General features: G+C 43.6%; 1 protein-coding gene across 21 annotated transcripts in view, besides 1 other annotated feature; it reads right to left on the reverse strand.

The window, feature by feature from the left end:
- KIAA0319 overlaps nucleotides 1-14,039 on the reverse strand; it is a 106,051-nt gene that overhangs the window by 2,632 nt on the left and 89,380 nt on the right. For 14 of the 21 annotated variants that reach the window (NM_001350406.2, NM_001350409.2, XM_047419603.1 and 11 more), the window contains 4 exons: nucleotides 13,835-13,957; nucleotides 11,769-11,859; nucleotides 8,662-8,753; nucleotides 1,335-4,571 (listed from right to left, as the gene is read on the reverse strand). In NM_001350406.2, coding sequence (NP_001337335.1) covers nucleotides 4,393-4,571; nucleotides 8,662-8,753; nucleotides 11,769-11,859; nucleotides 13,835-13,957 — 485 coding nt within the window. In that variant the 3' untranslated portion in view covers nucleotides 1,335-4,392. Of the gene's footprint in view, nucleotides 1-1,334; nucleotides 4,572-8,661; nucleotides 8,754-11,768; nucleotides 11,860-13,834; nucleotides 13,958-14,039 lie in introns of those variants that run through there. The other 7 variants (NM_001350407.2, NM_001350408.2, XM_047419602.1 and 4 more) reach the window with 6 other exon arrangements.
- Nucleotides 4,459-4,981: an enhancer, noted in NCBI's record as "NANOG hESC enhancer chr6:24547459-24547981 (GRCh37/hg19 assembly coordinates)". NCBI's record gives its function as "activates a minimal SCP1, AML or CMV promoter by ChIP-STARR-seq in naive H9 embryonic stem cells {active_cell/tissue: H9 hESC(naive)}" and the evidence as "EXISTENCE:reporter gene assay evidence [ECO:0000049][PMID:30033119]".

Genomic DNA, 14,039 nt, shown 5'->3' on the forward strand with positions numbered 1-14,039 from the left:
GAGTTCCCCCCAAAACCCACACCTTTGTTCAGTTTGGGAACTCCAGAGTTCACCTGAACCAGTCAATCAGAGCTCACCTGCCTTAACCAATCAGGACTCAGATGTATCAACCAACCAGGCGTCATCTGTATCAACCAACCCAAACTGAGCTACACTGACCAATCAGAACTATGCAAGTTTCAATCCTTCATTTACATATGGACCTGATTGGAAACCTGGGTAGAATTTTGCTATAAATCCAGAACGCTTGCTTTGTTTTTTGAAACCCATCTTTGTTTTACACAGAAGACCATAACTCTGTGGTTTGGAAACTGTTCACGGCAATAAAGTCTCTTTCCTTCAAATTCCTTTTCAGAGAACTTCTGTTCACAGTTGCTAATGGAGTGAGTTAAAACAGCCTGGAAAGGAAGGAACTACTACCTGTTTGAGGGGAAAGCTCCATACAGTACTACCATATATGAAACTCCAGAAAATTCAAGCTAATCTCTAGTGATTGCCAGGGGAGAGGGGGATTACAAAGAGCCACGAGGAAACTTTTATGGGTAATTATGTTTGTTCAACAGCTTGATTGTGGTCATGGTTTCACAGATGTGCACACATATCAAAGCATCAAATTGTATTATGTGCAGTTTACTGTAAGTGAATTATACCTCAATCTGCATTTTTTTTTCTTTTTTTCTGAGATGGCCTCCTTCTGTGGCCTAGGCTGGAGTGGCCCAGTCTCTGCTCACTGCAACCTCCACCCCCAGGGCAGAAGCAATCCTCCCACCTCAGCCTCCTGAGTAGCTGGGACTACAGGCATGCATCACAATGACCAGCTAAATTTTTGTGTGTGTGTTTTTTGAGACAGGATTTGGCCATGTTGCCTAGGCTGGTCTCGAACTCCTGGACTCAAGTGATCCACCTGCCTTGGCCTTCCAAAGTGCTGGGATTACAGGCATGAGCTACCATGCCCGGCCCTCATTTTAAAAATGGCTTTATTACTGATAAGAGCTAGATTAGAGGATGCAGTGTAAGTATACTCTCTCCAGAATCTAATCACCCTACCATGCTGTGGGCCTTCTGGCACGAGGGACAGACTGCCTGTTAATTGCAGAGAACCACCCACACAGAGGAAGGCGAGCTGACTGAGCATGCTCAGTTCTTCCGGAACACTTGTCTTCCCACAGGGAAGGAGCAGGGGATGTTAGTCCAGCCTTCTGCAAATTTTTTTCTTTCTGTAAAAGGCCAGATAGTAAATAGTTTAGGCTTTGCAGACAGTCCCTGTCAAAACTCCTCAACTTTGTTGTAACATAAGAACAGCCATAGATAATACATAAATCAGTGAATGTGGATATGTTCCAATAAAACTTTATTTATGAACACAAATCTGAATGTCATATAGTTCACATGTTTCAAATTTTTTTATTTATTTTTAACCATTTGAAAACATAAGACCCACTTTTCGGCTCATGGGGCGTGCACACACAGGCTGTAGGCCACAGTTTGCTGACCTATACTCAAGGGAAATCCCTCTACCCTGAAGCATAAAGAAAACAAATTTCCCCCTAAAAATAAGCATTACAGAAAATACAGACACCTTTATTTAGATTAGTGCATATATTTAATAGTGTGATATTAGAAATACCTTGTCAACACATAGGGAAAAATAATATATTTTAAGCAATAAAACCAAGATTAAAATAGTCCATGATAGCTTTGTCACACAAAAAACAATGGTAGTCACTCTCCTCCCCGCGCACAAAAGGTGGCATCACTGGCTTGTTGAGTGGTACATTTTCTTACCTTGCTGCATGTTTTTCAGATAGTTCCTTAGTCATACACATGCTTAGCCTTGTAATGCCATGGGTATGAATCCTCCTTCATTGAATGTAAACCAGCAACTAAAGTGCTTGTTAGCCTGTGAGCCCTACAAACACCCACTCCCATATTCTAGGGCCTGTTTTTCTCTGTCCAGAGCTCTTAGCGTGCTTTATCTCCCAAAGATCCTCAATGATAAGCAGTCCACCATGAAGAATGCTGGTTGGTCATTCCATCTCGTGCTTTGTTCTGATGAGAAATGGGGTGACAAGACAGGACTCACTTTCTGATCACTACTGTGATGTTTGATTTCCCAGAGATTCAAGATCCTTCTGTGATGGAAGGATCAGAGAGGCCAGGCTGAGATGGCCAAGGACAGAAAAGGAGGAGGGGCAGAAGAAGTCCACTGTAAACCTAGAGGGAGGGGTGGCCCGGGTGTGATCCACAGGAGACTATGCAGGCCATCTCTCCCTCTGACCTTGGCTCTCTGGATCCATTAAAAGAAATTCCTCTTAGTCCTGGGAATAGAACTTTCAGGTGGCCCAAAAGTTCCACCAGAATTTGCCCTCCATCCATCAAGGCAGGAGTTCTTTGTTTAGTGGAAAGCAGAACTCTACAGTTTAAAAAATTTGCATTCAGTTCTTGGAGCCACTACTTCTTGGCCATGACCTCTGGGAAGTTATTTAACCTCTCTGGGCCTTCAGAGGGCTATCTGCAACATAAGAATGATAGTATCTCCTCTTCAAGGTTGATTATAAGGATCAAATGAGTATGTAAACTGCATATGTTATGTACATAAAGCGGTAAATGTTCACTCCCTTCTTCCTCATTACGCCCGATGACTTTACATTTGGGCTGCTGTCCCCTATGCCAGAAATTCACATTTGCATGCAAACAACCATAACCCTGGTCACCTGATAAGGCAGATTCTAGGCTTATGAAGCTCAATACTGGTTAAAAAAAAAAATCACATTTTCCTTCTAACACTATAGACAGTATTGAATTGGCTAGTTATACAGAAAGTGTAGGCATAAGCAAAGCAATTATTTTAAAAATAAAATGACACACTTTTTAGTTCTGCCTTTCCCCAGTAAATTACAATAAGTAAAAATAAGATGGTCCCATGAGGATGAATACTGCGGGAGATGACAAAAGCACCTAAAAGCTGAATTTTTTTTAAGAACCCATGGGGAAACATTTTCTCTGGCACTCCTGCCCTGGTGTTTAAATACCTTGCTTCTTCATCAGCAATGCATTCCTAGTTTTCCCATGTGTTAAAAAAGCATTGTGCAACAGGATATTGTTTAGGTGTGCTCACACTTGGTACCACAACACTGGTTCTATCTCTCATTCTAATCTTCCCACAAAAAATGCCAAGGGCACCACCAAGGCCACCAGCCTCAGGACCAAGGGTGGATGGGGAACTACCCTGAACCAGTCAACGTAGCAGGCTACAATTAACTCCAGTTAATTGCTCGGGAGTACTGCTTTGTGGGTGGGAATGTTTTAATTGTCTTTCATGTTTGAAATAAGATTTATTCGGTAGAAAAACTTAAATGTATTTTTAAACATATGAAGTGAATACATCTATGTCAAGTTATTTTGGAAAGTACCTGTCGGGGACCAGAGTATCATAACCACGCCATCCAAGTTAAGACTGACTGTATTTCAGAGTTTTGGAATATATACACAATTGCTGAGTCGTTATCCCTATCTATGGCAGTCCAAACGCACAGCCTACAGAACATAATAAATGCTTAATGAATTAATCACTTCTATTGCATTTAATGTAAACTGGGGATCCGTTTACATTAGAGAACTATACTGCTAAACAACACCGAGAGGAGTCAGTGTAGTTTTTCTTAGAGAAAGAAAAGATAATGTTACAATGCTACCTTCAACCTGCACGGCATTAAGCTCCTCCTCCCCTTTCTATTGCCTCAGTCCTTAGAATACGATTCTTCCTTAGCTCTTGAATGGCCAACAGCTGCTTTCTTGAGAGAGATGAAAACTGCCATTGACATAGCACAGAATTAAAAACCAGGAGGGCTTGGCACTGTGCGAGTGTTGCCGTCAGCACAGAAAGCTTGCTACATGCAAGACTCCGTACCTCCACAGATGGCCCGTGCCTCTTAGACAAGCTATTTTAACATACACAGCCATCTGACTGCAGGTCCTACAAGAGAAACCGTGTTTAGAATGCTGTTCCTTAGAGGCAATCACAGCAGCTAAGACAGAAATCATCCCTTTTTAAAACCTTGTTTCATTCACCTTCTCTAAGGTTCTACAGATAGAAATCGTTGTTCATCTTTAATATGAGATTGTGCCAGCTACAAAAACTCAAAACTCTTTTAAGTATATACCTTAGAGTTTTACCCAGCCTTTATTTCTATTAACAAGCATCTCAGTTAAAAGAGCAAAGTTTTTGTTTTGTGCCTTCAAAAACCGGTCTTTTAGTACGTGGGGATACACATCTAACCCACTGGGGAAGAAGGTCAATGAACTATTCTAAAAGAGTGGGTTTTGTGCTGTAACTCCCACTGACTGGTCTTGGATTCAAGGGGTCCTTCCACTTTACAATGAACTGCGCCATTATCTGTCCTTTGAGCAATAACTGAAGGAAGCTCCATTTCTGATGGAACCATTCATGGAAACCTTTGGATTCCCTCTCTCCATCTTTTCTCGGCTGAAGATTGTGTCCTGGTCACTGTCAAACTCAGACTCGGATACCATCAGGCTGGAGTTGTGCTCTGTGCTTCGGTGCTTGATACCTAGAGAGAAGCACAGAAGCATCTGAGGAGGAACGCCGTGATTCACTTCCAGCTGTCAGTCGTTGTGGTTGCAGGTCCTGTGATGGGCACGGAGTGGTGCTCTCCGCCCCTTGAAAGCAATCACTCAAAACAGCAGGCGGTTTGGGTTTCCTAGCAAGTAACTGCAGGGGCTTTGATGCCTCACCCGAGCTTCTGTCCCAGCTTTGACACTCGCCAGATGCTTGAGCCTGGGCAAGATACCGAACCTCTCTGAGCTTTCAGTCTCCTCCTCTATTCAACTGGAAGATAACAAAGCATCTACCCCATGAGTTTATGCTGAGGATTAAGTGAAATAGTGCATGTAAAGCTCTCTTGGCCCAGCCTTTAGTACATTGTAAGCATCCAACAAACGAAAGCTTCTGTGATTTTACCATTTGGTTAAAATATTTTTGGTAGAATATTTGATTTCAGGGGGTCAACCTAAGATACAGAACAGGTATAAGATTCAATTCCTACTCTCAAAGGATTTATGGTGTCTAGCTAGGGGTTTAAGACATAGACTTGGCTGGGCATGGTGGCTCACGCCTATAATCCCAGCCCTTTGGGAGGCTGAGGTGGGAGGATCACTTGAGGCCAGGAGTTCGAGGGTACAGTGAACTATGATCGTGTTGCTATGCTCTAGCCCAGGTGACAGAGCAAGACCCTGTCTCGGGAAAAAAAACAAAAACAAGACATAAAAGGCATAGACTCATGAGAAGATGGCTCATAACAGGTTAGATGTTTTTTAAATTGTATATGAATTAGGAGATAAGCACATATACTTATGGCAGGGGTTGCTTCAGTAATGTTTCCCATAGGGTGATGTTGCAGAACTTTCTCCTTAGTTCAGCTAAAACCAGGCTCTTGTCACACTACCAGGAAAGATTAGGCTCACGGAAACATAGAGGGGTGAGAAAAATGGAATTTATTGGTCAAAAAGGAAACAAAAACTCTCAGCAAATAGAGAGGGGGTCTTGCCAACAACCTCCTGCCTCACAGATTGAATCCCAGGTTACCACACAGAAACTGAAGAGGCCAGGCTCCTCCCCACTGCAAATGACACGAACTTCCTGTGGCTCCATCCTCTTTCCCCAGTGCGCAGGTGGACATTACTTAGGGAGAATCAGCTGGGAAAGGGCAGGGCCTTCACTGGGGACCAGCAGTCCAGTTTTTCAGCCTTCAGGCTGTTTTAGGCTTGGAGGTGGGGTTTCGCCAGGGACTCTTGGCTGTCTCCTGTCTCTATCAGTGAGATTTGAAGAAGAGATTTTAGACAAGAGGACGGGGAAGGTCATGGAGTATGCAGAAGCATCCGGGAATATTTAGAAAAAAACTGGTTTGTTTGGAGCAAATGATTCATGTAGGAAATAATGAAGGAGAGAGGCCGGAGAAAGGCAGGGACCTCACAGAAAAGCACATGAATACAAAGTAAACCATGAAGTTTGGATTTTATCCTAAAAGCAGAGAAATGACACTATTAAAATGTTGTTCTGAGACATTAATAAAACCACAGTGTGCAGGATGGAAGACGGACAGTAGACATAGAGGTTGCTGTGGTCTGAATGTTTGCACCCCCACAAATTCATGTGTTGAAATCTAATGCCTAAATGGTGGTACTAAGAGGTGGGGCATTTGGGTGGTGATCGAATGGGATTAGTGCTCACATAAAAGAGGCACCAGAGGCCAGGTGTGGTGGCCCACACCTGTAATCTCAGCACTTTGGGAGGCCGAGGCGGGTGGATCACTTGACGTCAGGAGTTCGAGACCAGCCTGGCTGACATGGAGAAACCCTGTCTCTACTAAAAATACAAAAAAGATTAGCTGGGCATGGTGGACAGGTGCCTGTAATCCCAACTACTTGGGAGGCTAAGGCATGAGAATTGCTTGAACCTGGGAGGCAGAGGTTGCAGTGAGCTGAGATTGCACCACTGCATTCCAGTCTGGGGGATAGAGCAAGACTCTGTCTCCAAAAAAAAAAAAAAAAAAAGAGGCACCAGAGGCTGCCTTGCCCTTTGCACCATGTGAGGATGCAGTGAGGAGGCACCAACTATGAGGAAGCGGCCCTGCCCAGATGTTGAATTTGCCTTCCCAGCCTCCAGAACTGTGGGTAATAAATATCTGTTGTTCATAAGCCTCCTCTTCTGTGGCATTTTGTTAGAGCAGCCCAAACAGACCAAGGCAGAGGCAGTGCAACATAGAGGAAGAGCCCAGCCTCCACCCCACCTTCAGCACTCACCAGCTATGTTACTTGGGCAAGTTGCTAAACTTTCCTTTGCCTCAGTTTCCTCATGTGTAAAATGGGGATAATCATTGCACATACCTCGTACCGCTATGGGCAGGATTAGAATTCAATGGGTAAAGTACTTGAGATGTACCTAGTACATATTCAACATTAAATACCTGTTTATTATTACTATTAGTTCACGGGTGAAACTGTAAGGACCTGAACTGGGGTGGTGATGGTAATGACGAGGAAAGAGGGCAAGAGTCTAGCAAGTGCGGGTGTCTGGAGTGGGGGGCGGTGTGTGTGGAGCACCAGCGACTGAGGTTTCAAACTGGGGCAGTGAGAATGGGGGTTCTATGAATAGAAACAGGAATGTCAGAAGGATGAGTGTATTTTAAGACAAAGATGGGTGAGATAATGCAACCTAAAGCACGTTGAGCTCTTAGGTAAACGTCACTATAATACTTCTGATATTATGCAATGCAAATGGTGAGCACTCAATGTATGCCACTATTTGTTCTTCCTGTGAGGCTCTTCCTGCCAAAGCCCTATTAGCTACACTCTCTGTACACGATCAGTCATTCTGACCTGAGTGTTCCTACCCGGCATCGTCCATGCACTGATAGAACTCCTTGCACTCCAGTATAATTACCCTCCCTCAGGCTGTGAGCTCCTGTAAAGGCAGGCTCTGTGCTTCCTCCTCTCCCAGTCTCCAGGGCCTAACCCGGTGCCTGTGCACAAGGTAGGCATTCAACACTCACTGTGAACAATGTTTTGCACCTCACAACTCTGAAAAAGATTATATCTTCCATAAAAATTATCTTAGTCATAAGCCCAGAATTATGGAAAATCTATAGAATCGGTGTTTAGCAGCCTCAGAGGGCCAGAGAAGTTTCATTAAGTATGCAACAGTTAATAAACGAGAATGAAAAAGTTAACCGAGGTGGGCAACAGGTGCTCCTAAGCATAGGGATCAATACACTTTGTGAAGAAAGTCAATTTTCTGTAAAGCCTTTGTGTCCATCTTTATCAATGGCTAATTAGATAACGCAGCTGCTGAAAAATGTTAGGCTTTAAAGTCCAAATGTCCTCTTGCTGCATTTCTGTCCTAGCAGACCTAAAGGGAACAGCGTTCAGAGCTGAGCTGTGGGAGTGTCTTCAACTGCCCCCACCCTCCACCCGCGAGTAGAAAAAAAAGCAGGTGCTGGGGACATCTCTGTTTAAAAAGCAGTCTTTGCCCTGTGGTCATTGGTAGGTGCCCAGCTGATAACATTTCATATCCCTCATCCATTAATGCCTCAAAGTATTACACCAAAATTTCATTAAATTTATAATGAACCCACTGCCTTCTGCCCCCACCCCCGCATTAGCATATCCTCAGGATTGATGAAGGTTATTTTTCTTTTTCTTTCTTGAGACAGAGTCTCAGTCTGTAGCCCAAGCTGTAGTGCAGAGGTGTGATCTCAGCTCACTGCAACCTCCACCTCCCAGTCTCAAGCTATTCTTCTGCCTCAGCCTCCCGAATAGCTGGGACTACAGGCGCACACCACCACGCCCGGCTAATTTTTTTTTTTTTTGTATTTTTTAGTAGAGATGGTGTCACCATGTTGCCCAGGGTGGTCTCGAACTACTGAGCTCAGGCGCCTTGGCCTAAGTGCTAGGATTACAGGCATGAGCCACTGGGCCCGGCCTGAAGGTTGTTTTTCATCACAGAATCCCAGCCTCACTCTTCCTTCCCAATTAAAGTGCTGACTCCAGCAAATCGTTCTCCCTCTATCCAAGTTAGCCCTCAGGCCTACCTAGGTTAAATCATATAAAGGTGCCAGGCAGTCATTCTGCAGACTGTCTTACCATATTTGGGCCTCAGTTCCATTCTTTCCTGTTCATCCATGTTATCCAGGATGGTGTACTTTGTTTTTTTCCTGATTTTAGTCCTTTTTTGTCTGAAAGGAACAATGAAAAGCTCAACTCAGATCTTTAGAAAGGTAACTGAGAGCTAGGATTTAACGCACAGTAAAGACACTAAAGGAAACATTTTGCCTTTATGATGTGATAGTTGGCGTCTTTTATTAAAGAAACATACACAAGGCCAGGTCAGAGCTCAGAGGGCCATTATGCATCTTGGAGAAACACATTTCTGGGTATAAACAGCCACATCACTCTTGCCCACCTATCTACAGGTCTCAGCTAAGCCTCAGGCTGCAGTGCCAATTCTCAACACTTGTGTGTTGGCCCAGGGAGCTCTTCTTCCTGAGTAATTCCTTATTCAGAAAAGCCTGGATGAGCAAATGTTCCCCTGAACCTGTATCACCCTGCTATGTCCAATGCTGCAGTAATGAAAAGGTGTCATGAACTAGCAATCAGAAAAAAATAGCAAAAATTATAATAAATTCCCACAATTAATTAGCAACAGCTGCTCCCCACCTTTTTCTTTTTTTTTTTTCCTCAACACATGAAAATTATGCTGGTCCCATGTGCCTCATCCTATGTACAGAGACTATTTGAAAATACACATCCAAACCATGCCAAGGCACGCAGAGAACAAAATAGTAATTTCATAGTAAAAAAGCAATATTCTGGGAGCATGATGATCAGAAGCATAGGTCTCAATTTAGCACTTGCTAGCTGGTGACTTAGAGAAAATTAATTGAGACTTTTGTGCCTCCATGTCCTCACCTGTAAAATGGGAGTAAGAATAGTCCCTTTCTCACATGGTTGATGAGAGGACTGAATAAGATAATACAAACAAAGCACTTAGCCATTAATCACAATGGCAAATACTTCATAAATGTTCACAGTTATCACTACTAGCATCATCATCTTCTACTTGATAGACATGTCACAAAGCTGCAGATGTTTAATGCCATACACAGTAGGGTCACATATGGCTCTGGGAAAACTTAACGGGATTTAGGCCTCTAAGTGCCTGCACCTGGCTCCCTTTCACCAGTCTTACTTTGGGAACGTAATCACAAATAAAACCAAAATAATCTATAAGTGATTTCTGAAAAATAACTATTAAAATACACTCCTTTTTTTTGAGATGGAGTTTTGCTTTTGTTGCCCTGGCTGGAGTGCAATGGTGCAATCTCAGCTCACTGCAACCTCTTCCTCCCGGGTTCAAGCGATTCTCCCGCCTCAGCCTCCCAAGTAGCTGGGATTACAGGCATGCACCACCACGCCCAGCTAATTTTGTATTTTCAGTAGAGGTGGGGTTTCTCCATGTTGGCCAGGCTGGTCTCCAACTCCTGACCTCAAGTGATCCACCCACCCTGGCCTCCCAAAGTGCTGAGGTTACAGGCATGAGCCACCTAGCCCAGATTAAAATATACGTTTTTTAAAAATCACACCTTTGGAGAGCAGTTACAATGTTTCACATGAAAGAGTGGACCTGATGCTCTCTTCTAAGGACAGAGGGTTGAGCATGGGGTTCTGGAAGATTTGGCCAGTGAGGTAGCTTGAGGCTTCTCAGGGGTCAGCTCCATGGAAAAAGGAAACACCTAAAGCAAAAGTTCTCTTTGGCGGTGTTATTGCCTCGCTTACAGTTTCAAATTTATTAAAAATGATTCAGGTGGATTCGATTATTGCTTTACATAATGAAAATAATCAAAACCTACCATTTGTAACAGTATACTTCCAGAACTCCTTCCTCTATTGAGACCTGTAAGGCCACTTAGGTACTTGTGAGATAGATATATATATATATATATATACACACACACACACACACACACACACACACACACACACACACGCACATATATATATATATATATCTGTATGTATGTTTTCATCACAGTTCCTGGCTAATAACTCCCACGGCCCTTGTTATAATGCTGGGGCACTTTAGGCCTCAGAAAACAGAATCTCCCTCTCTCTCTCTGACCTTCTCCTGCCTTCTTTCACCTGCTTTTTATTCTCCCCAAAGCAAGAAACTTCCCCTGCCTTTCTGTCTCGGAGCTGGCTAGAAAGACATTCTCTGACCTACTTTGTCTGATTATAGGTCATAAAACCCTCATTTCAGAAAGAGTTCTGCCTCCTACGAGGAGAATGGAGTGCTTTACAGAGAGGCTGAGAAGAATCTGGACAGGCCTTGCTGGGCTTCCCCACTCAGCCTGTTAGTATCACATCATACCCTTTTTGTCCAACTACTTTTCTATAACTATCCAATGAAGTCTTCATAAAAGACCCAAGACGACAGGGTTCAGGGAGCTTCTGGACAGCCAAACATGTGGAGGTTCCTGGAGAGTAGCATGCCCAGAGAGGGCATGGAAGCTCTAGGCCCCTTCCCCATATCTCACCCTATGCATCTCTTCATCTGTATCCCTTGTAATATCCTTTGTAATAAATAACCAATGTGTTTCCTTGAGTTCTTTGAGCCACCCTAGCAAAATAACTGAACCCAAAGAGGGAATTGAGGGACCCAATTTAGAGTCAGTCAGAAGCCCAGGTAAAACGACCTGGGGTATGCAACTGGCATCTGAATGGGGTGGGCAGCAGTCTTGGGGACTGAGTCCTTAACCTGTGGGATCTGACGCTATCTCCAGGTAGACAGCGGCAAAAGTGAATTGGAGGACACCCAGCTGGTGTCCACTGCAAAGCTGTTGCTTGACTGGTGTGTGCGAAGAAACTCCCAAACAATGGTCACAGAAGTCTTCTGTATTGATTGTGGTTGAGTGAGAAAACAGTACCACTCTAGTGAATATAATGTAAGACTGATAGAGAATAACATTAGATATGATACAGAATCGTTGACCCTCCTAGAAAACACAAGAGCTGCAATGAGAAAAAGCTGCCTCTAATATTCCATTTATTTAGGCACTTATGCTTTGTGGCAGAAAGTGCATTATTATAATAAACAGCTTAGTGGTTTAACAAGTCCAAGTAAACAATTCCTAAGCTGTCAAAACACACTTAGTGTAGGGTCTCTATTTCCCAGGAATAAGCACTCTAGGTACCTTTTGCAGCAGCAGATGCAAAGCCAAGTGAAACCTCCTGTTAGCACAATAAGAGTAAAAGCCAACACTGTCACATAGAATATACTCCACTCTGAAACACAAGAAAACCAAAGTGGACATAGTTACAGGCTATTTGTAGAACAACTTTATTTTGATGATTCATAACAACTATTTCTGAATCCCTACAAGGAAAGGCCACCTGTGGAGTTGATAACATCAGACTGGTAGCAGAGCAGAGCAAGGTAAAATACAGATAAATCAAGAACTGTAAAACTAAAACTGCCCTGTTTTTATCTATTGGGTTTCAGGGCCTCACGGAGCACATATTTCATGCGAACTTGGGAACAGAATAATCTGAAATAACTAAAATTAGTCAATTACATAGTAATGCCTCTTATATAAACACACATGTATACCACATCAAAATATTCATTCCAGAATGCCAAAAATCACAACCCCTACCCCTGAAAGTTCTGGCTTGGTTTTAATAAAGCATCTATATGGCTGTTTATGGCATGAAGACATTTTTCACGGCCAGAGAGCAATTCAGAAACTACTTGACCCTCATTCCTTCCACATCCTTACAGAAATCTAACGTGAAAAGCTTTCAACAGTAATTCAGAGACAGAGAAGCCCAGTTTAAATCTACTAGGGAGCAAAGTTTAACTCTATTAGGCAGGGTGCGGTGGCTCACGCCTGTAATCCCAACACTCTGGGAGGCCGAACGGGGCAGATGACTTGAGGTCAGGAGTTTGAGACCAGCCTGGCCAACATGGCAAAACCCTGTGTCTACTAAAAATACAAAAATTAGCTGGACATGATGGCACACACCTGTAATACCAGCTACTTGGGAGGCTGAGGCAGGAGAATTGCTTGAACCCAGGAGGCAGAGGTTGCAGTGAGCTGAGATTGCGCTATTGCACTCCAGCCTGGGTGACAGAGCAAGACTCCATCTCAAAAAAAAAAAAAAAAAAAAAAAGGTTTAACTTTATTAAATGTTATATAATTTCATTGGAATAATGATCCAAGGGCTGGCTATTTTCTGATTTTTATATAGTATTAAATGGGAATATACTTTGGCAGTCAGCTCTTACTATCCTTGGTGCCAATTATGTCCATCTGGTTCCCCAAACAACAAATTTACTTAGTAGACTGCCATTAAAATATAGTTTTCTCCCCAGAAGGGGCACCAGCTTGCCCTGCTGTGGCTCCAGTTTTTGGTGCCTGCCTGTGTGAACAGCTGGAAGAGTGGGCCAAATTCTCTTCTTTACCTGATTCTAGAAGATCCATACCAGGGGCCACTTCACCAGAAAATCACACTGAGCCTAAGCCAAGGCAGGTGTAACCTGGAAATGCAGCCCGTGGCCCAAGCAATTCTTTCTTAGAAATGCCAGCAATAGTGAGCCAATTCTGCTCTGCCAAAGGGAATTTTCTCATTAGGAAGTTTTATGTAAAAGCCTAAACACATCCCACAAAGTAGATTGTAAGAAGGGTCTTAACTTACTACCAAGTGAGCTGGTTCACTTGGCTTCAGGTGAGAAAAGCACTGAATGTTTATAACTGCAGAGCTAGGCAGATAGTTCTCTTTTTCTATCTTTTCTCTTTTCTTTCCCTCTTTCCCTCCCTTCCCTCCCCTCCCCTCCTCTGCCCTCCTCTCCCCTCCTTCCTTCCTTTCTTCCATTTTTTTTGAGACAGGGTCTCACTCTGTCCACTCACTGCAGACTCAACTTCCTGGGCTGAAGCAATTGTCCCAGCTCATCCTCCTGAGTAGCTGGGACTACAGGCACACGCAACCACACTCAGTTAATTTTTTAAGAAAGGGTCATACTATGTTGTCCAAGCTGGTTTGGACCTCCTCTCAAGCAATCCTCCCACCTCAGCCTCCTGAGTAGCAGAGACTACAGGCATGCATCACCATGCCTGGCTTATTTTGTTATTTTTTTGTAAAGGTGAAGTCTCACTATGTTGCCCAGGTTGGCCTCGAATATTAGGCAGATATTTCTGATACCTGAGAATGAGCTGCCTTAAGGCTCCTCACCCAAAGCCTCCTCTATACCAGAACTCACCACAGTTGCTCTCTCCATCCCAGATATAACGCTGTATAAGGTTCTCCATCCATAAGTGAGAGCAAATGCAGCGCTTTGTGAGGGGGTCGCAGTGACCATGGCCAGAACACTTCAGAAGGCAACCTGCAAAGAGGTGTGTAGGGCTGAGGGCAGCATGCAGAAAAGGGAATCCCTGGATTCAGCTTCTTTTGTATCTTCAGTAGCA

Source organism: Homo sapiens, chromosome 6 (genome assembly GCF_000001405.40).
Source record: "Homo sapiens chromosome 6, GRCh38.p14 Primary Assembly".
Taxonomy (NCBI): domain Eukaryota; kingdom Metazoa; phylum Chordata; class Mammalia; order Primates; family Hominidae; genus Homo; species Homo sapiens.